General features: G+C 43.4%; 1 protein-coding gene across 12 annotated transcripts in view, besides 1 other annotated feature; it reads left to right on the forward strand.

Moving 5' to 3' along the window:
• ANKS1A (ankyrin repeat and sterile alpha motif domain containing 1A) overlaps positions 1–23201 on the forward strand; it is a 208736-nt gene that overhangs the window by 110801 nt on the left and 74734 nt on the right. For 10 of the 12 annotated variants that reach the window (XM_011514431.4, XM_011514434.4, XM_011514432.4 and 7 more), the window contains one exon: positions 17418–18004. In XM_011514431.4, coding sequence (XP_011512733.1) covers positions 17418–18004 — 587 coding nt within the window. Of the gene's footprint in view, positions 1–16970; positions 17019–17417; positions 18005–23201 lie in introns of those variants that run through there. The other 2 variants (XM_047418492.1, XM_017010593.2) reach the window with 1 other exon arrangement.
• Positions 17623–18226: an enhancer, noted in NCBI's record as "H3K4me1 hESC enhancer chr6:34985455-34986058 (GRCh37/hg19 assembly coordinates)". NCBI's record gives its function as "activates a minimal SCP1, AML or CMV promoter by ChIP-STARR-seq in naive H9 embryonic stem cells {active_cell/tissue: H9 hESC(naive)}" and the evidence as "EXISTENCE:reporter gene assay evidence [ECO:0000049][PMID:30033119]".

Genomic DNA, 23201 nt, shown 5'->3' on the forward strand with positions numbered 1-23201 from the left:
GAAACCTATAATTGATAATTAAAGGTATTCTTCGTAACCCTGTAACACTCTAATACCACTTTGTTGTCAGTGTAGTCAGTGTAAACAAGGGCGTATCCCGAAAGCACTGAGGCCTTCCTATCAAAAATCCTTAACCCAGTAACCCGCAGATGGCCCAGATGCATTCAATCTGTAGTGGCAGCTGCTTTGCTAATGAAAAAAAAAAAAAAGCCATCTATACCAATTCTAAGTTAATTTAGACTAAACAAGGTCTTATTAATAGCAAAGGATAATTGAAATCCCAAACTAACAAGGTTTTCAACAAAAGTAAAGTTTGCTAAAAGTTAACAGTGTAACATGTATTATAGTAACTTCTAATCTTGTGGCCTTAGACAGTCTAGTCCACAGACGTAAAGAAAGTTCACTTAAAAAAAAAAAAAGAATGGTTATCTTCAAAGAAAAAAAAGTGGAGGGAGGCAAAATTTATGTAAAAAGAGTGTTATATAGTAAATTCTTGTCCTGAAATAAATTAACCGGTTGTTTAAAGAAAAAAATGTTTGTAATAAGTCAGAAAGTTGAGACATGTTGAAGAATTATCTGTGAAAGTCATGAAAGAAAAAATGTTATAAAAAAATTTATGCAAAAAATGTTGTATAATTTAAAAGTAATAAAGCCTCCTGAGTACTATTAAAGAAACAGTTTATGTGCAAGGTGTATAAGGAAAGTAAACTATACCTTTGGTAAAAGGATTATAAGGAGGCATAAGAATGTGGATTTTTACCTACATTAAAAGGTTAAAAAAAATTATTGCTTTGAAAGTTTAAGCAAGTTTTAAAATGTTAATTGTAAAAAAAAAAATTCTGTGTGTAAACATGTTAGCTAAAGTTAAAAAGGTATCATTCAGTTTTTCTGTGAACTGGACATTAAAGTAAAAATGCAACAGGTTTTTCTTAAAGCACCAACCTGCTCTTTAACAAAAATTATGAAAGGTTAAAAAGAGTCTATAAAAACTTACCTTATGGTCAAACATGAAAAATTGGATAAATATGTCTACAAGGTTTTATTAAAATTAAGTTTAACGTTAATAACACACTAATATAAAGGTAAAATTTAGCTTATCTGGTATAAAAATCATATAAGAAGCATTATTAAATATAAAATGGTGTTTAGCTTTCTTTGGTCTAAAAACTAATAAAAATTGGTGCTGAAGGAAACATTCATTTTACTAGAGGATGATAGAAGTTAAAGACTTAAAACAAACTTTGGCAATTAAGACAGCATACCAAGATGCAAATGCCTGGTTGGAATGGATCAAATATTCCATCTGCACATTAAACAAAAGCAATTGTTATGCTTGTGCACATGGCAGGCCAGAGGCCCTGATTGTCCCTCTTCCACTAAGGTGGTCCTCCAGTCAGCTCCATGGTAGCTCTTTTCCGGGATTCTACAGCCTGGAGTAATAAGTCATGCCAAGCTCTCTCTGCTATATCTCAAAGTCCAGCACCCTGCGGGGCAGCCCCTGAGGGCCATCCAGCTTCCATCTCCCAACACTAGGTTCACTTCGTGTCTCTCACGACAGGGAAGAAATTTAGCATTCCTTGGAGACCTGAAAGGATGCAGTGAGCTTAAGAATTTTCAAGAGCTTATCAATCAGTCAGCCCTTGTTCATCCCCGAGCGGATGTGTGGTGGTATTGTGGTGGACCTTTACTGGGCACTCTGCTGAATAACTAGAGTGGCACTTGTGCTTTAGTCCATTTGGCTATCCCTTTCACGCTGGCATTTCATCAACCAGAGGAAAAAAAAAATGGCAGTTGGAGTTTTAACCCAGACTGTAAGGCCCTGGCCAAGGCCAGTGGCCTATCTCTCAAAAGAATTAGACAGGGTTTACAAAGTCTGGCCCCCATGTCTAAGGGCCCTGGCAGCAACAGCCCTGTTAGCACAAGAAGCAGATAAGCTAACTCTTAGGCAAAACCTAAACATAAAGTCCCCCTGTGCTGTGGTGACTTTAATAAATAGCAAAGGACACTATTAGCTAATGAATGCTAGACTAACTAGATACCAAAGCTTGCTCTGTGAAAATCCCCGCATAACCATTGAAGTTTGCAACACCCTAAACGCCACCACCTCACTCTTGGTATCAGAGAGCCCGGTTAAACATAACTGTGTAGAGGCATTAGACTCAGTTTATTCTAGTGCGCCCAACCTCCGAGACCATCCTTAAACATCAGTAGACTGGGAGCTGTACGTGGATGGGAGCAGCTTCACCAACCCCTGCAAAGTGACTCTGAAGAAGACGACAAGCCCTGCTTCAGTTACACCCGGAAGCTGACTGGTCCACGCATGGCCGAAGCATGAGGAAACTCATCGCGGGACTCATTTTCCTTAAAATTTGGACTTATACAGTAAGGACTTCAACTGACCTTCCTCAGACGAAGGACTGTTCCCAGTATATACATCAAGTCACTGAGGTAGGACAAAAGATAGCTACAGTCCTATTATTTTATAGTTATTATAAGTGTACTGGTACTCTAAAAGAAACTTGTTTGTATAATCCTATTATATCCAAGGTATGTAGCCCAGTCTCTAAATGTTATGTTTGTGGAGAAACTGTAATAGAAGATCAATGGCCATAAGAAGCCTGAGAATTAGTGCCTACAGACCCAGTTCCTGATGAATTCCCGGCCCTAAAGAATCACCCTGATCATTTCTAGGTTCTAAAAGTCTCAATTATTAGACAATATTGCATAGCTAGAAAAAAGAAAGAATTCACTCATTCTGTAGGATGACTTAGTTGCCTAGGACAAAAACTGTATAATAATACCACAAAAACAGTTACGTGGTGGAGTTCAAACCGCACAGATAAAAATCCATTCAGTAAATCTCCAAAGTTGCAGACCGTTTAAGCCCACCCAGAATCCCACCAGGACTAGACGGCTCCCACTAGGCTATACTAGATATGTGGACATAGAACCTACGCTAAGCTGCCTGACCAGTGGACAGGTAGTTGTGTTATTGGCACTATTAAAACCATCTTTCTTCCTACTGCCCATAAAAACAGGCGAACTCCTAGGCTTCCCTGTCTATGCTTCCCGCAAAAAGAAAAGCATAGCTATTAAAAAATTGAAAAATAATGAATCGCCCCCTAAGCGAATCATACAATATTATAGGCCTGCTACTTAGGCACTAGACAGCTCATGGGGATACCAGACCCCCATTTACATGCTCAACCGAATCATACGGTTGCAAGCTGTTTTAGAAATCATCACTGATAAAACCGGTCAAGCCTTGACTATTCTGGCCCGGCAAGAAACTCAGATGAGAAATGCTGTCTATCAAAATAGATTGGCTCTCGACTACTTGCTAGCAGCTGAAAGAGAGGTCTATAAAAAATTTAACCTTACTAATTACTGTCTACACATAGATAATCAAAGGCAAGTAGTTAAAGACATAGTTAAAAATATGACAGAACTGGCACATGTGCCCGTACAAGTGTAGCATGGATTCGACCCTGAGGCCATGTTTAGAAATTGGTTCCCAGCACTAGAAAGATTTAAAACTCTTATAATAAGAGTTATAATAGTAATAGGAACCTGCTTACTGCTCCCTTGTTTGCTACCTGTACTTCTTCAAGTGATAAAAAGCCTCATCGCTACCTTAGTTCACCAAAATGCTTCAGCACAAGTGTACTATATGAATCACTATCAATCTATTGCACAAGAAGACAGAAGTGGCGAAAATAAGAGTGAGAACTCCCACTAATAAAAAGTGAGAGTCTCAAAGAGGGGAAATGAGGGAAGAGAGACCCTCTCATATTGTTTTATATTGTTTTATACTCAGAAAAGGAAAGAGAAGCAAAACTAAAGGCAGGTAGCCTGGCGCCTAGGAACCAGACCCGAAACCAAGGAACCAGACCTGAAACCAGGCCTGGGCCTGCCTGACCTAAGCCTGGTAGTTAAAATTCCACCCTTGACCTAGCAACTGATGTTATCTATAGATTATAGAAAGACATTGTAAAACTTCCCGGTCTGTTCTGTTTCACTCTAACCACCGGTGCATGCAGCCCCTGTCACGTACCCCTGTTTGCTCAGTCGATCACGACCCTCTCACACGGACCCCCCCTTAGAGTTGTGAGCCCTTAAAAGGGACAGGAATTGCTCACTCAGGGAGCTCGGATTTTAAGACACTAGCCTGCTGATGCTCCCAGCTGATTAAAGCCACTCCCTTCACTATCTTGGTGTCTGAGGGGTTTTGTCCGCAGCTGGTCCCGCTACAGTGAGATGGGAAATTTTTTAAATTACATTTTTAGGCTGGGTGCAGTGGCTTACTCCTGTAATCCCAGCACTTTGGGAGGCCAAGGCGGGTGAATCACTTGAGCCCAGGAGCTGGAGACCAGCCAGAACAACATAGCAAGACCCCCATCTCTAAAATAAAATTTTTTTAATTTTTAAAAATTACATTTTTATATTATCTTATTAGTATATGCTCACTGAGGAAGAAAACATTTCAAGCAATACAGAAATGAATATAAATAAAATGTTAAGGTTCTTCTCACCTCCCTGTTACTCATAGTTGCTAGAGGTGATCATTTGAAAACGTGGTAGGCTGGGCGTGGTGGCTCACACCTGTAATCCCAGTACTTTGGGAGGCCAAGGAAGGCTTACTTGAAGCCAGGGGTTCAAGACCAACCTGGCAACATAGTGAGACCCCATCTCTGCAAAAAAAAATTTTTTTTAAGTAACTGCCTTTTAATAGCAAAATAATACCATCCTAATCTAACCACAGAGTTAAAAAAGAAAGAAAGTGTGGTGTATATGATTCAGACCATTTGTTATCTTTATACAAAAGTGACTATGTGAAATTCTTTGTTTGTATTTAAGCTAACGTGGGATTATATTTTACAAAGTTTTTGTGAACTTGCATTTTGTATTTGCCTTGTCTATAGAGCACAGATACAATTTTATCTTGGTCCTTAAAATCTAGCTAAATATCCCATAACTCATTTTTTCCTTCTCCAGGATTTCTGTTATAAATTATGCTTCTGTGGACATTCTGTACATGTGTTCTTAAATACTTATAAAAGTATGTCTGTAAAAAAGATTGATAGAAAGTAGAATTAGCGGGTCAGAGTGTATGTGCATGTCTAGATCTAATGGGTGGAGCTAAATTGCCCTCCCTTAATGGTGAAGAGAAGTATGCTCTTCTCCATACCTTCCCAACATGGTGTATTATCAGTCTTTAATGTTTTCCACCATGTTAAGCAAAAAACGTGCTATTTGTCATTGAAACTGAGCAACTTACCTTATTGATTAGTGTTATATGTTTAGTCTATGAGTTGCCTGTTTTTTTCTATTTTTCTACATAGAAATTAGTGGTAGTGGAAACACTTTGTGTAAATACCTATAATACTTGGCCAAAGTAGTACTCAGAGGAAAGTTTATATTCTTAAATTCATTTGTTAAACAACAAGAAAGATTAAAATTTAACCAAAAGACAGTAGCAGAGAGTAACTAATAGATTGTTAGGGAATTATTGAGATAAAAGCAGATAGTATATTGCTGATATTTTATGTTATGTGTGCTACACCTTAGTGAAAGAAAGAAAAGTAAAAGTAAAGAAACCAAAAGGAGAGACTTGATCATTAAAATGAATTTGTATTTTTTTAAAGATTTCTGACAATTTTGATCAAGAAAGAGGAAAAAACCGCTACATATGAAGATGCTATAAAGAATATTGTTGGCCGGGCATGGTGGCTCATGCCTGTAATCCCAGCACTTTGGGACCCCAAGGTGGGTGGATCACTTGAGGTCAGGAGTTTGAGACCAGCCTGGCCAACATGGCGAAACCCCACCTCTACTAAATATACAAGAATTAGGCCGGGCGCGGTGGCTCATGCCTGTAATCCCAGCACTTTGGGAGGCCGAGGCAGGCAGATCACAAGGACAAGAGATCGAGACCATCCTGGCTAACATGGTGAAACCCTGTCTCTACTAAAAATACAAAAAATTAGCTGGGTGTGGTGGCACGCGCCTGTAGTCCCAGCTACTCAGGAGGCTGAGGCAGGAGAATCGCTTGAACCCGGGAGGCAGAGGTTGCAGTGAGCCAAGATCACTCCACTGCACTCCAGCCTGGGTGACAGAGCAAGACTCTGTCTTAAAAAAAAAAAAAAAAAAAATCAAGAATTAGGCGTGATATCACACACCTGTAATCCCAGCTACTCAGGAGGCTGAGGCTGAGAATCGCTTGAACCCAGGAGGCGCCTCTTTTTTGAGGCTCTGTCTCAAAAAAAAAAAAAGAATATTCTTAATTGTACATTTTAAAATAACTAAAAGAGTGTAATTGGATTGTTTGTAACATAAAGGATAAATGCTTGAGAGTATGGATGCCCCACTCTCCGTGATGTAATTATTCCTCATTGTATGCTTGTATCAAAACATCTCGGCCAGGCGTGGTGGCTCACGCCTGTAATCCCAGCACTTTGGGAGGCCGAGGCGGGTGGATCAGGAGATCAGGAGATGGAGACCATCCTGGCTAACAAAGTGAAACCCTGTCTCTACTAAAAATACAAAAAATTTAGCTGGGCATGGTAATGGGCACCTGTAGTCCCAGCTACTCGGGAAGCTGAGGCAGGAGAATGGCATGAACCCGGGAGGCAGAGCTTGCAGTGAGCCAAGATCGCACCACTGCACTCCAGCCTGGGTGACAGAGCGAGACTCCGTCTCAAAAAACAAAACAAAAAACAAAAACAAAAATCTCATGTACCCTACTATGTACCCACAAAAATTTAAATTAAAAAAAATTTTTAAAATTAAAACTTCAAAAAAGAATATAGCCAGGCACAGTGGCTCACACCTGTAATCCCAGCTCTTAGGGATGCAGAGACGGGAGGATAGCTTGAGCCTAGGAATTTGAGACCTGCCTGGGCAATATAGTGAGACCCTGTTCTCCACAAAAAAGAATAGAAAAAAGACAAAAAAGAATATATAACCTCAAATTAAGAGATTTTAAAAATTAATAATAAGATGATTTATAGGAATAAGTTTTATGTGGTTAATCAGAGTTGCTGCCATCCCCTGGGAGCATTTAGAATTGTTTTGGGGGCGTTTTGGTCCATCACAGTGACTGGTTAAGGTGGGGTTGCTACTGGCATTTTGCGCCTGGGGACCAGGAATGCTAAGCATCCTGTACTATGCAGGACAGTCCTTCACAGTGAGTAATTTTCCTACCCAGAAATGCCATTTGTGCCTATAGAAGAAACAAAAGCTGGCAGAAGTGGAAAGCCTTAATAGATCTATGAAGTAGAAAGCCCATCCTCCAAAAAGACACAAGGCCCATGTGATTTTATGGTAGTTTTATTTAACTGGGTATTCCTGTTGAATTATTTCAAAAGTAGAAAAAGTCTTCTGAAATCATCATACAGGGCAAGCATAACCAAGAGCAGTGATTCCTGTTTTGTATAGCGTAGTCATTTATTTCTCTTTCATGTTTAACTCTTTGCTCGCTGGATGTTCTGGACATATTACCACTTGGAGAAATAGTGGACAACTTTCCATGTTTGATAGTAAATGGGAATGTAGCCAAGAGCTCTAAAAGCCATCTTGTTCTTTGTGGTGCTTTTTTGTAGCATCCACTAATAGTGCTTGGGTCCAGGTGAAGTGGTACTTAACAGAGGACAATCATGAATGATTATCTGAAGACAGTGATACATGTGGACTTTCTGGCGTGCAGTTACACTTCAGAGGTTTTTGAGATTAAGTCAGTATTTCTGAGAGCTACGCATTTGAGTCTGTGCACAGTTTGTGCATGAGTATGAAGACCTTAATCCTTCCAAAGGGGAGGAAACGGTTTTTAGCTTCTACCTCTACTCCTACATCAGAGTACCAATTCCTTAGCCTTTGGGGAATTCTGGAGTGTAAATCTTGGCTTTTCCCTTTGCCAGTTTTGGATTGTTTTCTCAGGTGTGCTTCCGTCTGTAGTCCCACTTTTACTGTTGGTTTAATGAGATTTCAGGAAGAAGAGAAAATAGGTACCTGTGTTCGATCTATCATCTTTACCAAGAAGTCCAGGCTAGATTTTCAAAATAAATACCCAGGAGTATGTTTGGATGCTTTTTCCAAAGGGAAAACATATCAATGAGACAGTTTGACAATTAAGCCTTAACTTCAGCAGCTTCCTCTTCTCTCGCCATCTTTTTTTTAAATAGACGGGGTCTCGCTCCATTGCTAGGTTGGGGCACAGTGGCACAGTCATAGCTCCCTGCAGCCTCAAGCTCCTGGGCTCAAGCAATCCTCCCTCCTGCCTTAGCCCCCTGAATAGCTAGACTAAAGGCATGTGCCACCATGCCCAGCTAAAAGTGTTTTTTAGAGATGGGTTCTCACTGTATTGTCCAGGCTAGTCTCAAGCTCCTGGCCTCAAGCAATCCCACCTCAACCTCCCATGTAGCTGGGGTCACAGGCACAAGCCACTGCACTGGACTTTTCTCACCTTCTTGCATTAGAGGAGCTCCTGCACAAAGTCCTGCTGAATAACTGTCTTCTTATTATTAATTTAGGTTTCTGAGTTGGAATAGTTCAATTTTCTTTCCATTGTGGAACAAGTCCAAGCCTTATGAACTGTGCTTCTAAGTTTTCCTCCACCATATGTATTGACAGCCATTTATATACATGTATATTATGCATTTATATATATGAGACATATGTAAAGTAACTGAAAGATGACAGAATATGTTAAATTCATATAAAAGTGATTTTGGTGTCCAAAAGAGGGATAAATTATGTCAGTGTAAGAGATCATGGATGGCTTTATTAACGAAATCACACTTGAGCTGAACCCCTAGATAGAGTTATACCTGATAGGCAGAAGTAAGGAAGGAGAGAGCATTCCAGGCAGGAGGAGTGGCATAGACAACAGTGAGATGATGGGAGGAGATAGAGAGAACATGTCTGGAGAATGGTAAGAGTAATCCGGTTTGGCTGGAACAAAGGGAACTTGTCATAGAGCATTGGATCTCCACCGTCAGTGTTTATTCCCGAGACAATGCAGTGTTGTTGAGGCTTTTTGAATCCGGCGACAGGACAGGAGCCACGCTTCACAAATATACAATTGTGGACTCTTAGATTGGTTAGACTGGGAGAGACTGGAGGCGGGAATGCCCTAAAGTCAAGAGACTTCACAGAGTCTCTCCAAGGTAATTGGAGCCCAGACTAGAGGGGGAGTAGGAAGTTATAGGAAGGGAGGTATGAATGGGAGAAGTATAGAAGAAGCAGAATTAACAGGACCATGGAACAAAATGTATAGGAATGAGGAGAGGAATTTGAGGATGATTCTGAGGTTTGAGCTTGGTTAATTGAGAAAATAATGTACAACTAACAGAAATAGAGAATTGAGGGAGGGGGCATGTTTGAGGGATGATATTAAATCCGGTTTCAAATGTGTTAAGTTTGAGGTGTTTTAGGTACCAGAGAACATCCAAGTGAAGATACTTCATAAACACTTGGAAATATGAGTCTGATGAGAGATGTGAAGGTTAGAAATACAGATTTAGGAGTCATCCAAGTTGAGGTGATTCTTAACGTTAAAGAGAACCCAGGCTGGGCGCGGTGGATCTTGCCTGTAATCCCAGCACTTTGGGAGGTTGAGGTGGGTGGATCACTTGAGGCCAAGAGTTCAAGACCAGTCTGGTCAACATGGTGAAACCCCATCTCTTCTAAAAATATGAAAATTTACTGGGTGTGGTGGTGCAAGCCTATAATCCCAGTTACTTGGGAGGCTGAGTCATGAGAATCATTTGAACCTGGGAAGCAGAGGTTGCAGTGAACCAAGATCACACCACTGCACTCCAGCCTGGGTGACACGAGCAAGACTCTGTCTAAAAAAAAAAAAAAAAAAAAAAAAAAAAAAAAGTCCATTGCTGAGAGACGAGAGAGATTGAAGAGGTCCAAAACAGAACTTAGCCTGGGCAACATAGTGAGATCTTGTCTCTACGAAAATAAAAAATTTTTAAAAATTAGCTGGGTGTGGTGGTGTGCACCCGTAGTCCTAGCTACTTGGAGGCTGAGGTGGAAGAACTGCTTGAGCCCAGGAGGTCAAGCCTGCTGAACTCCAGCCTGGGCGACAGAGTGAGACCCTATCTCCAAAATAATAATAATAATTTTTTTTTTAAAGAGTAGAGCTTATGTTTAGAGGCACAAGGGGAAAGAAACATAGGAAGATAACTGGGATAATGCAATATCTTAGGAGCTAAGGCTGAATGTGACAGAAAACCCTCAATAACTCTGGTTGAACAAGATAGAAGTAAAGAGTGCTGGGCTCAACAACAGTTCATGACCATTAAGGACCCAGTCCCTTTCTGCCATCTCATGGTTCAAGATGGCTATCCAAGTTCAAGGCATCAGCATGGGAAGGAAGAAAGGGGAGAATGGCACTTTAAAGATAGTTCCCAAAAGTTACACATGCCACTTTCACTTATAACCCACTGGCCAGAACTTGGTCATGTGTTTACACCTTGCTACAAAGGAGGTGGGAAATAATTGTCTTTATTCTAGGTGGCTGTGAACCTGTCTAAAAGTCCCATAACCAAGGAAGGAAGGGGAGAGTGAGTACTGGGGGCAATGGACAAACAGTATCCATTGATCTAGAAAGAGCTAGAAGGATGAAAACTAGAAAAAGGGTTAGGCAGTTAGAAGGCCATTGGTAAAGCCTAAATGGGGTCTAATTTCTAAGGTAGGAGAGAAGTGATGAAATTACCCCCCAATTTTTACATGGTGTTGAGAGTAGTCATTAAAAAAGTTTGATCTGTCTTCTCGGGAAATTGGTGTGATTGTCCTCCAAAAAGTGCAGGTGCTGTGGGTAAAGATGATGGCTTAAAGAGAGCAGAAGAGATGAGGAAATCGATCTTACATAGTTTTCAAGAGATGAATGAAAAGCTCACTGAGCCTGGTAATCAAGCTGGCATTTGAATTATTGCTCTAGCACTTACTGGATGGTGACTATTATTTAGGGAATCATTTAACTTCTTTAAGCCTCAGTTTCTACATGTAGAAGGGATACTAATTCTTACCTCATGGTTGTTGTGAATATTAAAAAGAAAATGCTTGGCATAGTGTCTGGCACAGAAGGAGTAGTACTCAATAAGTAGTAGCTGTTGGAAGCCAGCTGAGTTAGGTGAATTGGTAGAGGACTCAAGTCAGTTGTTTCTTGAGTATTTAAAAGGGCTCAACATTCCAGCAACTGGAGAAGAGAAAGCAAATGGCTATGAATACCCACTACAAGAACTGGCAGAAGATCAAGGGGAGCAAAGACAGCAAATATGCTATTAAATTAGGCATGGTTAGAAATCGTGGCTGGTTGGAAGCTGATCCAGGCAAAGCTGGTATATTGAAAACTAGGGAAGTTTGGGGGCCAGAGGTCAGAGGTCCAATGACAGGTAGAGAACAGACGCTTTAGGAGTTCAAGAAGAAGGGGGAGATGTAATGAGGTAATCAAGACCAAGTCAATGTGAAACAGTCCGAAGTCCCAAAGCTGGGCTATACCTATGGGCCCCAAGGTGAGTACAGATGGCTCCTAATCTGAAGATTCTCCACTGTGCTATTACATGTAATCCCAAACCAAACTTATAAGAATACTGGCCTTCCCTGGCATTTGAGTTTTATTCTGCCTCTTTAAAAGGGCTACTCAGAATAAATCAGTCTCCTTTGCAGAGTCAGGAGAAGGGAAACCAGCCTCTCTGTGCAGTGTTAGCATGATGAGCTAAGAGTTCAGAAATGACTGTAAATGAAAAATGGTGATAATGATAGCAGCTATCATTTACTGAATGCTTCCCACGGGCCAGCTGCCATGCTGATTTCCTTTATGTTGATTATGTCATTGTATATCTTGTGACAGATCTTCAGGGTAGGGGCTATTTTTGTCCCTGTTTCAGAGCTGAGGAAGAAAAGGTTAGGTATTGGAGCTGAGACTTAAACCCTAGTGTGACTGAATCCAAAGCCTGTACTTTTAACCATGAGGCTAAAACCATTTCATCAAAAGCCTTTCTGCTATTCATGTTCTTAACATCATAGAACTGGTAGGGACTATAGAGAGGTCCTTTAATCACAGATTCAAACTAGCCTAAATCCCAAAGCCCTGGAGAATGCATCCCAGGCATTCATTTTTTGAAAGAGACCTAGAGAGGAAAAGTCACGGGGCTGGAACTAAAACATGGGCTTCTTGAATCCCTGTCTAGCTCTTATTCTATTTCTCAGGTTGCCGTGGACCAAAATGAACTCTCAGTCTATTTGTCTTATCAAATTGCAGTCTTCAGCAAGTGTCTGAATAACTTGGTCAGGACCTTCCTTCCAGGAAGAGCCTGGTGACCCTCTGAAAGCAGCCATGTACTTGGGAGTTCTCCTGCACACCCATGGTTTTTGATGCTCACTATAGTGACTAGGCAGCTGGAGGATTCCAATCCTAATGATACGGAGAACACAAAACAATATGAGACACTGGGTCCCCCAGCCTTCTTCTCTGGGCCTGAGGGGAGATTTGAATTAGCAACTCCTCACATGAGCTGCATTCTTTAGCCTTAATTTAAGTGGGCAGAGGTGAATGAAAATGTGTAAATGTTGAAGTGTTATTATTCAAAAGCCCTTGAGATCCCATAGCTCATCGTAGTAATTAAAATGCAGCACAGAAGACCCCTTGCTTCAGTAGCTCACAGGGTATAAGGAAAATGAATGAGGATCACAAGTTGATGGGATTGGGAATTAGCATGCTGGTGTGCCATATTGAGTAGAACAGCTGGCCTCGATGTATGGGTAGCATAAGAAACAGGCCTCCCTCCCTGTGTGCCACTATCTCCTTGTTTCTCTCCTAGAAGGGCAGACTGTGGGGAGGGCAGAGCTCGGGGAACATGGGAAGTAGTGTAGGAGAAAGGCCTAAGGGTCTCTTCTGCAACTTCACTAGTCCCTGGGCGTGAGGTTTGTTGCCCAGGGTGGTCTCTAACTCCTGAGCTCAAGTGATCCTCCTCTCTCAGCCTCCCAAAGTGCTGGGATTACAGGCATGTACTGCCACACCTGGCCCTTCTCTGCCTTTTCTAATGTATTTTTACTTCTCTGTAAGCCTGACAAGGTCTTATTTCTCCTTCAGTGCTCAGCTCGAAAGCTACCTCTTCTGAGAAGCCTTCTGGTTCGAAGTAATCAGGCTTTCCTTTTTGTCTGCCAAGCATATGATTTATGCCTGTCTTAAAGCATCTATTGAGGCAGACTTGGTGTCTTTATTTTTTTTATTTTTTATTTTTTGGTGAGACAAGGTCTCGCTGTGTCTCCCAGGCTGGAGTGCAGTGGCATGATCACAGCTCACTGCAGCCTTGAATTCCTGGACTCAAATTATCCTCCCATCTCAACCTCCCAAGTAGCTGGGACAGCAGGTGTGCACCACCACACCCAGCTAATTTTTAAATTGTTTATAGAGATGAGGTCTCGCCATGTTGCCCAAGCTGATCTTGAACTCCTGAGCTCAAGCAATCCTCCCACCACAGGCTCCCAAAGCGTTGGGATTACAGGCGTGAGCCACCACACCCGGCCTCTTTATCCTCATATCCACCTGGGTGCCTCCTGAGGACAGACACTTCATACATTTGTCCATGGGATGAGTGGTTACAGTGACAGTTCTGGGGCCTGTCTCAGAGTTTCTCACTTCAGCCCTCTCACCATATTACCTTCTGTCCCTTCCTTCTGCTGTTCAGAGTTATAAGGATGGTGAAGGTAATGAATGCTTGTGAAGTGCTTTATATCTTACAGAGTACTTTCATGTACCTTATCTTTGATGATCCTTGTGACAGACCTGTGAGGAACGGAGAAGTAGTTGGTCTCATCTGTGAGCAAAGTGTGTTGTAACGGACCCTGTGTGGAGGATAATAACAATTTCAACATCTATTGAGAGCGTGGCATGTGCTAGACACGGTTCTTAATGCATTACACGTATAATTTAATTACCGCAACAATCCCCCAATTAAGATCCCAGAATTGCACAAAGAAGTGATTTGCTTAAAAACTGCTTCTTGATCAGTATATTCTATTGTTAGCACCTTGTCCCTAAGAGACCTTATATTATCCTTACTTTGCAGAAGGAAGAAACCATTGAGTAATTCTTTTCCCACCCATTGATCTGCCAAAAAAAACTCATCTTGGCCTTGGATGTAGTTTTTAATGGGAACAAGAACACCAGCCTTAGGGTCTTGGATCTCGGCAAGCTTTTCAGATACCAAAGTGTCTTTCTTAGGAATTGCCTGGCTAAGTCATATGATTATAAGAATTTCTTTCCATCATTTCTTATATTCCACAAAATATTGGTGGATTGTGGTTTCTCTAATAGGATTATGACCCTCAGAGATTCTTCCTCCACATATTTCCTTCCTCCGTAAGTTTCCATTCTTTCCTTCTACCCACTTCCTTCCCCTTGGCATGTGTCTGGTATTGAGCCCTTGGCATCTGTCTCTCTTTCATCATTGATAGCTAGCATGAATGGGTGGCTGTTTCACAGGGCCTGCATTGTTGGCTCCCACAGCAGCAGTTAGAACATTCTCTGTGGCCTGGGTTCTGAGGTCCACCCAGGCAGTGTGAGCCAGGCTGGCCCCCAGTTCTGAGCTGTGGTGTTTCCTTTCATTGTTGGTGCCTTAGCTCCCAGTTGTTAAATATGAAGCTGGAAGTTGATACAAAGCAGTAGAAGCCTGTGCTCCTTTTACCAAAGTCATCTTGCATTCAAATATAGTCAGAGGGACATTGTACCTTGGGCCAGGATCTGTAGGAAGTCGGCTATTAGAATGTGGTCCCAGAGATGGCAAATTTTACAGCCTGATTAACTCTCCCCATCAGCTTCTCCTAGGAAGTACTATTGACCTGAACCACATTAAATGGTCATGTGTCATCCTCACTGTAGCCCCACCATGCAACATCACTGGGTAGCTTTGTTCTGGCTGCCAGTTGTTATATGTAATATTCGTAGCCATGAGTCGTGGCTTCCTGGGGCCTTGGTTAAGCTATATGAAACTCTTATGTAATCAGCATTCCTTCTTCCCTAGAGAAAGGATTCAAGTTTTTCAGGGTTTGTTCATTGCTCAGGACCTGACCTTTAAGTTGAGTTGAGGTGTGAAAGTCCCAAAGTGGTCAAGTTTGAAAGTCCCAAAGTGGTCAAGTGTAGAGGAGGGGCCCAACACAGTGGCTCACGCCTATAATCCAGCACTTTGGGAGGCCAAGGCAGGCAGATCACTTGAGGCGAGGAGTTTGAGACCAGCCTGGCCAACATGGCAAAACCCCGTCTCTACTAAAAATACAATAAAATTAGCTGGGCGTGGTGGCACACACCTGTACTCCCAGCCACTCAGGAGGCTGAGATGGGAGAATCGCTTGAACCCAGGAGGCAGAGGTTGCAGTGAGCCAAGAGTGTGCAACTGCATTCCAGCCTGGGCAACAGAGCAAGACTTGGTCTCAAAAAAAAAATAAAGAAGTGTAGAGGAGAGAGATGCCAAAGTTGGTGCTTCTGTGCTCCTGTGGATAAGTAATCAGAGCCATAAAGTGGAGCTAATTGGCTGCCCCTGGCCACTTCTCTAGACTCGTGAAAAGCTGAACAGACTGTGGAGACTGAACTGCTCTTCTGGAGCTGGGAGGGGAGAGGGGGCGATGGGAGAACTGTATCCCTGCTCAGACCTCAGCGAGTTGGGCTCACTGTGAGAGCTGGTTGTTGAGACATTTCTTAAAGGCTGTTTTGAAAAAACCACTGTTGCAGGAGAGTAGCGTCATGCTTGGGCATTGGAGACTGTGTTTTAGTACATTGTGTTTATAAAGCACTGCTCATTTTGCACCCCTCCTCACCTGGCTACCCTCTCCAGTTGCAGAACTGAACCTCAAGAAGGGGCTTTGGGCCTTCAGGCATGCTGATGAGGGAGAGTGGGTGCTGTGTAGACAGCAACAGGAGAGGTACCCAGGCAGGCATCTCACATCCCTAAGGGGGAGAAGTGTGCCATCATGACATGGTGGAGACCTGGATTCTCATCACTATCATGACATTAAAGGGATTTTTAAGTATCATGCAGCCCAGCCCAGTCACTTTAGACGCTGAGGCCCAATAAGATGAAATCACTGCCAAGGCCACACAGCTAGAGAACAGCTCAGCCAGGACCAGAGCCAGATCTTCAGGCTTCTAGGTTGAAGTCTTCTCCTGCACCACCTGGGGTAACCACTAAGACTCCTCATCTGTAAACATAGTTGACCCTTTTGGTTCTAAGATTCTCTGAGCTCATGAATAGTTCTTGAGAGTTTTGAGCAAACTAGGGAATTGTTTGGTATAGGTGCAATAGATCCCACTTATAGAGAAGGTTAAGTTGAATATTATGGAATGTGAGCTAGTGCTGGACATAGTGTTATTTACTCTGATGATGTGGGTTAAAATCTTTAATGGGGCTGAGTTCATGCAAGGAAAGCCCCTGGGTGTGCCAGTGTAGTGCTGATGTTAGATTCTGATTTGGCCAATTATTTATGCTACTTCAGGGCGAGGTATTTGAGTGTACAGTAGTAGCTGGCCTCATGAGCTAGTAGTGTCAGATTTCTAGGATGTTAGGGAAGTCTCGAGAGAACTGCAAATGTCTCCTGGCATTGACAAATTAGACCATTTTGTTTTCAGTGGATCAACTAAGGTTAAACTTAAACAAATATGAGCAGCTGGGAGATTTTGGAAGAAGCAAGATGTGCACATTCTCAAAAAAAAAAAAAAAAAAGAGAGAGAGAAAGAAAAGTCTGTGCTCCCTGAGGAAGGAAGGATGAGGCGTGGAACTCGGAATGGCCCCCTCCGAGGAAGGAAGCAGTTATTTCTCTGCCGTTTTGTTTCTGTTAAGGAATTCCAGAAGTTGCAGGTTGTGGATCATGACCTCTTTTTTTTTTTTTTTTTTTTTTCTGTTGCTGCTTGCCAGAGGAAGGGAGGGCGGGTGGCCTTTAAATAACACTTTGGCCTTTATGGAAATGTATCAGATGTTCCAGGAGTGGGTCTCCCTGCTCGCGCTTGCTCACTGGTGCTCTTACTTTTGCTTCATGTTCACTCACTCTGTCCTGACTTGTGTCCTTTCTCTAGGTTATACTTAACACTCTTCTCGCCTTATATAGCAAGGTCTGGTCGTTAATGTTAACAGAAATCTAACAACAGGGAAGGCTGCCAGATAGCATTAATCAGGCCAGTGTTTGGAATTTCATAAATGCTCTGACTTTGGGTACAAATTGAACATTAAGAACAATATGAAAACTGTCTTCCTTCCTCTCTCTTCTTCTCTCCTCTCCCCCTCCCCAGCCTATCCAGTTTCTCTCTCTGTTTCTCTGTGAATTCCTCTGCTTTGCCATATGCTTGCTGCATTGGAACTTTGTTGATTTTTGCCACGTTTAATTTTTTATTTCTCTGTCTCTCCGTCCACTCCAAGACCACAGGCGGAGCAGCAGCAGCCGGAGCCAGGACTCTGCGGAGGGGCAGGACGGGCAGGTCCCAGAGCAGTTCTCAGGCCTCCTCCACGGCTCCTCCCCGGTGTGCGAGGTGGGGCAGGACCCTTTCCAGCTGCTCTGTACCGCTGGCCAGAGCCATCCAGACGGGTCCCCCCAGCAGGGCGCCTGCCACAAGGCCAGCATGCAGCTGGAGGAGACGGGTGTGCATGCTCCTGGAGCCTCCCAGCCCAGTGCCCTGGACCAGAGCAAGAGAGTGGGCTACCTCACAGGCCTGCCCACCACCAACAGCCGCTCGCACCCTGAAACTTTGACTCACACAGCATCTCCGCACCCTGGTGGTGCTGAGGAAGGAGACCGGAGTGGGGCCAGGAGCCGAGCGCCTCCCACTAGCAAACCCAAAGCTGAACTCAAACTCAGCCGCAGCTTGTCCAAGTCTGACTCTGATCTCCTGACCTGCTCACCCACAGAGGACGCTACCATGGGGAGTCGGAGTGAGTCCTTATCCAACTGCAGCATTGGGAAGAAAAGGCTAGAGAAGTCACCCTCCTTCGCCTCGGAGTGGGATGAGGTAAGGCCGACATGACGTCACAGGGAGCTGGGCTGGCCAGGCTGGCCGCAGCCCACCACAGCTCCCGTGAGTGCCAACTCTCAGGCCCAGGATCTGGGCAAGGTTGCTCTGGTTCCTTCACTCCGTAACTAATGTATTTCTGACAATCGTAAGAAGAGGCGAGCCTCAGGTAGTCTGGATCACAGAGGACAGGTCCTTAATGGTTAAATTAGAGGGTGGAGGCCCCAGCAGAGCAGGGCTGAGGGAGGGGCACTTTCTAGAAATGACATGCTGTTTGGAAATATTTGGATCCCATCAGCCCCATTGAGAGAATCATGCTCACCCTGGAGATGCTTAAGAGCTGGAGTACTTCCTATGAGTCCTTCAGGAGAAAAAGAGAAGATCCAGGGTTAGTTGAGAGGTGTGAGGGGTGTTTAGGGGAGGACAGGGTAAGTCTGGGGGGAAAGCTGCTGAAAGGGGGCTTTTCTTTTTTATATATATAATTTCAACTTTTATGGTAGATTCAGGGGGTACATGTGCAGGTTTGTTACATGGGTATATTGCATGATGCTGAGGTTTGGGGTACGATTGATCTCATCACCCAGGTAGTAGACATAGTACCCAATAGTTAGTTTTTCAGCCCTTGCCCCCACTCCCTCCCCTCTCCAGTAGTCCCCAGTGTCTATTGTTGTATCTTTATGTCCATGAGTACCCAATGTTTAAGGGAGAACATGCTGCACTGTTTGGTTTTCTGTTCCTGTGTTAATTCACTCAGGATAATGGCCTCCAGCTGCATCCATGTTGCCTGAAAAGGACACGAGCTCATTCTTTTTTATAGCTGCAAGAGGAAGGCTTTTCTATTCCCTGCTTCTCCATGGTTATTCTTACTGTGCTGTCCTGGAAGGCCAAATACTTCTTCCAGCAGAAGGGTCCTGCCCATCCCACATTCCCAGATTGGTCAGGCAGAAGAGGGATAAGTGGTTCAGGAAATGAAGATTGGGGAGTAGAAAACATTGGGAGTCAGAGGCCCAGTTTTCTTTCATAGCCATTATTAGTTGGAAATATGTACCAATTTCTCTGTGACCTATGGCATGTCTCGCTGAGCAGAAGAATGTGTTTCTCAAAGATAGGTAAACACCATGGGAATGTTAAAGTACCACCCTTGCAAGCTTCTTACTGAGTGGAAGCTGCCTTTGAAGTGGACTGGGTCTGTCTCTGAGGAATAATTTCAAGAACTCCATTTAGCTCTCCAAGAGGAGGGGAACACTACAGCTGACATGTCCATTTGAACAATCTGTACACTTAATGCCCTACCCAACTCTATTTGGGTAGGTGCTGGAAAGTTATGTAAACCAAAGCCAATCCATTTCCAGTGAAGGAACTGGGTTGGGGGTGGGGGCTGTGCTTCCAGCGCTACCTCCAGATAAGGTATAAGATGAAGCTTAAGATTCTGATTAGGCAGAGACAGAGGAATCCTGTGCAAAAGATTTTCATTGCTTAGTAAACAAAGATTTGGTGAGCCTGTGCTAGATGCCTGGCCACTTGTGGAAAGTCACTATGAGTGAGATAGCTCTGGGGGAGGGGGGTGCCAGGAGATTACACACTGGAGTGTGTATATTTGTAGGAATGTATGCTCTACCTTTGTTTTTTAAAACAGAGTTTTACTAATTTACAGTCAGCTATAGGAAAACTTCAAGATAAATTTAAGAGGAAGGTGAAGATAAGTGCAGTGTGCTCTGAAATGGCCATAGAGGTCAAGAGAGAAAAACATCAGTGACTCTTACCCAGGTCTGAGATTTTTAAAAAATCAGTGGGTGGGGGAGTGGAGACAGGAGGTGTGAGAGGGTGGGAAGAGATTCAGGAAAGACCACTAGAGCAATGGGATTTGACATGGAATTAAAAGACTGAGTCTTATGGTTAAAACCAGATTGAAGCTGGTGGGACGAGGAGAGGTGGGTGGAGAGAGCGGCATGAGCAGAGGCATGGAGCCAGAAAAGTTCAGGTCATTTGGTTTTTCTAGGGTGCTGACTGTGTGTAAGGGCAGAATGAGAAATAAGAGTAGAAAGCGAGATTTGCACCAGGTAGTGAGAGGGCCTCGAGCATCAGGCCAAGAGATGAGTACAGCCAGCCCTCCATATCCATGGTTTTCTGCATCTGTGGATTTAGCCAACTGTGGATAGAAATATTTGGGGGAAAAAATAACAAAACAACAATAAAAAATAATGTAAATAAAAATACAGTGTAACAATTACTTACATATAGCATTTACATTGTATCAGGTATTATAAGTAAACTAGAGATGATTTAGAATATACAAGATGTGTGTAGGTTATATGCAATGTTATTTCATGTCAGGGACTTGAACATCCACAGGTTTTGATATCCAAATGGTGTTCTGGAACCAATCCCTAGTGGATACTGAGGGATGACTCCTGGATATGCTATCAAGGCAGTATCTCAGAATCCTTTAAACGGGCTGGAAGACAGCTTTACCAGTCTAATGAATCACCTCTTCTTTATGGCTCCTTCTGAGCGTATCCCAAACCAGAGAGGTCAGCAGTGCTGGGCGATTCTTCACAGGATATTTATGTCCTGTTAACATGCAGCATTTCTGGGCAGCCTTATGGGCTCCACTGTTTCCTCCTGGCCAAGAAATACAAAATCACCTGGGCAAAGCTGGGCTTAATTGAGGTTGGCTGTGTGGGCTCGTAAGCCAGTGTCTCTTTGCATCGAGAGGAGTTTCATTTGCTGATATCACCTGTGCAGATAAAGGTTGCAGGTGCTTACAATGGCCCAGGGATCTACATCTATCCAAGATCTAGGTGCTGTGGGCCAGTTCTCTAGTGTGACTGAAATGCAAAAGCCCTGCTACATTTTAAATTTGAAAAAACTTAAAGGCAATTGAGGTCTTATTGGAAAGAATTCAGAAGATCAAGGTTTGCTTACGTCCTAAACATTAACAGGGCCCTTTATGTGTAACCCTTCAATGTTGTTTCTTAGTGATACTGTACTTGGTTTCTGTGGATATCACTCTGTAAAGAGAAACTCCAAAAGTGTTTCCCCCAGTGATTGGCCCTAAACCCAGGGCCTTGGCAGGCTTTCCTGGAATAGGGCATTAGTTAATGGCTGCTCCCCACCCTATCCCTGACCAGTGCCTGTAGCCGGCTTTGCCATATCCTGTTCTTGCTGATTTTTTTCTTTGTTGTCCTTGGACCCCCGGGAGGTGGGGAACTCTGCTCTGAAGGCTCTGAAGGTGCTTGGGCCTAGCTCACCTCTTCACTGTGAGACCTGGGGAGGGAGAAGGAAGGCTGTCGGGTGGGAGCCCCTCAGGCTGCTCCTGGAAAGAAGTGCAGGACCACAGATGGGCTCAGGTTCAGGAGTCAGCAGATCCAGCTTCAAGCCCCAGCTCCTCCATCTCCACCTCGGTGCATGGACTACCTCAGTAAGCTCACTGTTATTATTCTTATTTGTGAAACTGAGGCAGTTAGATCTGTGTTTCAGAGTGTTTTACCAATTAGAGATGTGTTTAACTGCCTAGCACAGTTCCTAGCATGCATAAAGTGTTGACTAAATGGTAGATATTAATGTTACTATCTTGCTTGGAGCTGCAGAGAATGGGAACTGAGGACTGGAGTGTGTTCAGACCTTATGAAATGCAGAGCTCAGGCCGGGTGCGGTGGCTCACACCTGTAATCCCAGCACTTTGGGAGGCCAAGGCAGGTGGATTACCTGAGGTCAGGAGTTCGAGACCAGCCTGGCCAACATGGTGAAACCCCCTCTCTACTAAAAATACAAAAACTAGCCGGGTATGGTAGAATGTGTCAGTAGTCCCACCCACTCAGCAGGCTGAGGCAAGAGAATTGCTTGAACCCAGGAGGCGGAGGTTGCAGTGAGCGGAGATCACACCACTGCACCTCAGCCTGAGCGACACAGTGAGACTCTGTCTAAAAAAAAAAAAAAACAAAACAGAGCTCTTTGCAGGAGGTTCTTTGTTGTTTGGTGGTAGCAGAGTCACGGGGAACCCCTGGAGTTCAAACCCTTCAACTGGTGATCCTCCTGCACAGCTCTGCCTCACTGCAGGGATGGGAGAGCCCACCCAGCCTGAGAAAGTCAGGCAGGCACCTTCCCCACTGTTCTCATTTGAGAAATTAATGAGCTTTCTGTTGAACTCCCTGAGAGGAGAAGAGAGGTTGGAGAGAAATCTACAGCCTTCTCTACAATTTGTTTTTCAAATATATTCTTCCACATAATGGCCAGCAAATGGCTGGTTGGTTGAGATGATGTTCTCCAGTTGGGGAACATGTATGGCTAATAGATTTGGGAGTCATTTTCTCCAAATACAGACTGCTCCTTATTGTGGGTTAATGCAGCCCTGTTGAACTACCCTGAGCAACATGACTTCTGAAAGATGGCCTGGTTAAGGTAAACCTCTGTGATCATATCTGTTAATGACACTAGCATTCTCCCTATTTTCTATTGTATTTTTGGTGACAAAGAAGTCATAGAGTTTGCCTTTAAAAGAGCTCAGCCTAAGAGGAGATCTGAATCCAAACTTCAGTAGTTATTTTCTGTGTTCTCCAGTCAAGTCAAAGCACTCTTTGTTGTCTTAATGATGCTTGGGACATAATAGAGGGCAAACTGAGAAGGTGTACGTAAATAAAATTTTAAAAATATACAGATAAGGAGTGGGAAATTCACCCACATCCCTCCATGCATACTTAACCTCTGTTAACATTCAATACATATCCAAATTCGGAGTCTTAGTGTATTTACTGATTATAATTTGCTTTTCTTACCTAATAACTGCACGTTGTGGATATCTTACCATGGCAGCATCAATAAGACCTGGATTCAGATCGTCATTCTAAAAAGGCTGAGTATTCTCTTGTATGGCTATATCATAAGGTTGGTTAGTTTGTTGTTGTTGAAACTTCTCCAACCATTAGATACTGCACAGGGCATTTTCCACCTGCCCTTCAGGTCCAGTTCCTACCCTTTTCTATCTGCTTATGTGTCGTGCATTAATAGGCCAAGGGGTTGTTGGATTGGTTTTGTCCCTCTACTGAAAGCCACCACTCCTGGGAGGGACCTTCTCCCAATAGCTGTTCTCTCTGGGTTCTAGTAAACAGTCCTTCCCTTTGACCCTTCTGACCTAAGGCTCCTCACTGTGACTAGCTCCCCTCCCTGCACCTTACCCAAACCTGTGTAAATAATCCCA

The sequence above is a fragment of the Homo sapiens genome, chromosome 6 (genome assembly GCF_000001405.40).
Source record: "Homo sapiens chromosome 6, GRCh38.p14 Primary Assembly".
Lineage (NCBI taxonomy): Eukaryota > Metazoa > Chordata > Mammalia > Primates > Hominidae > Homo > Homo sapiens.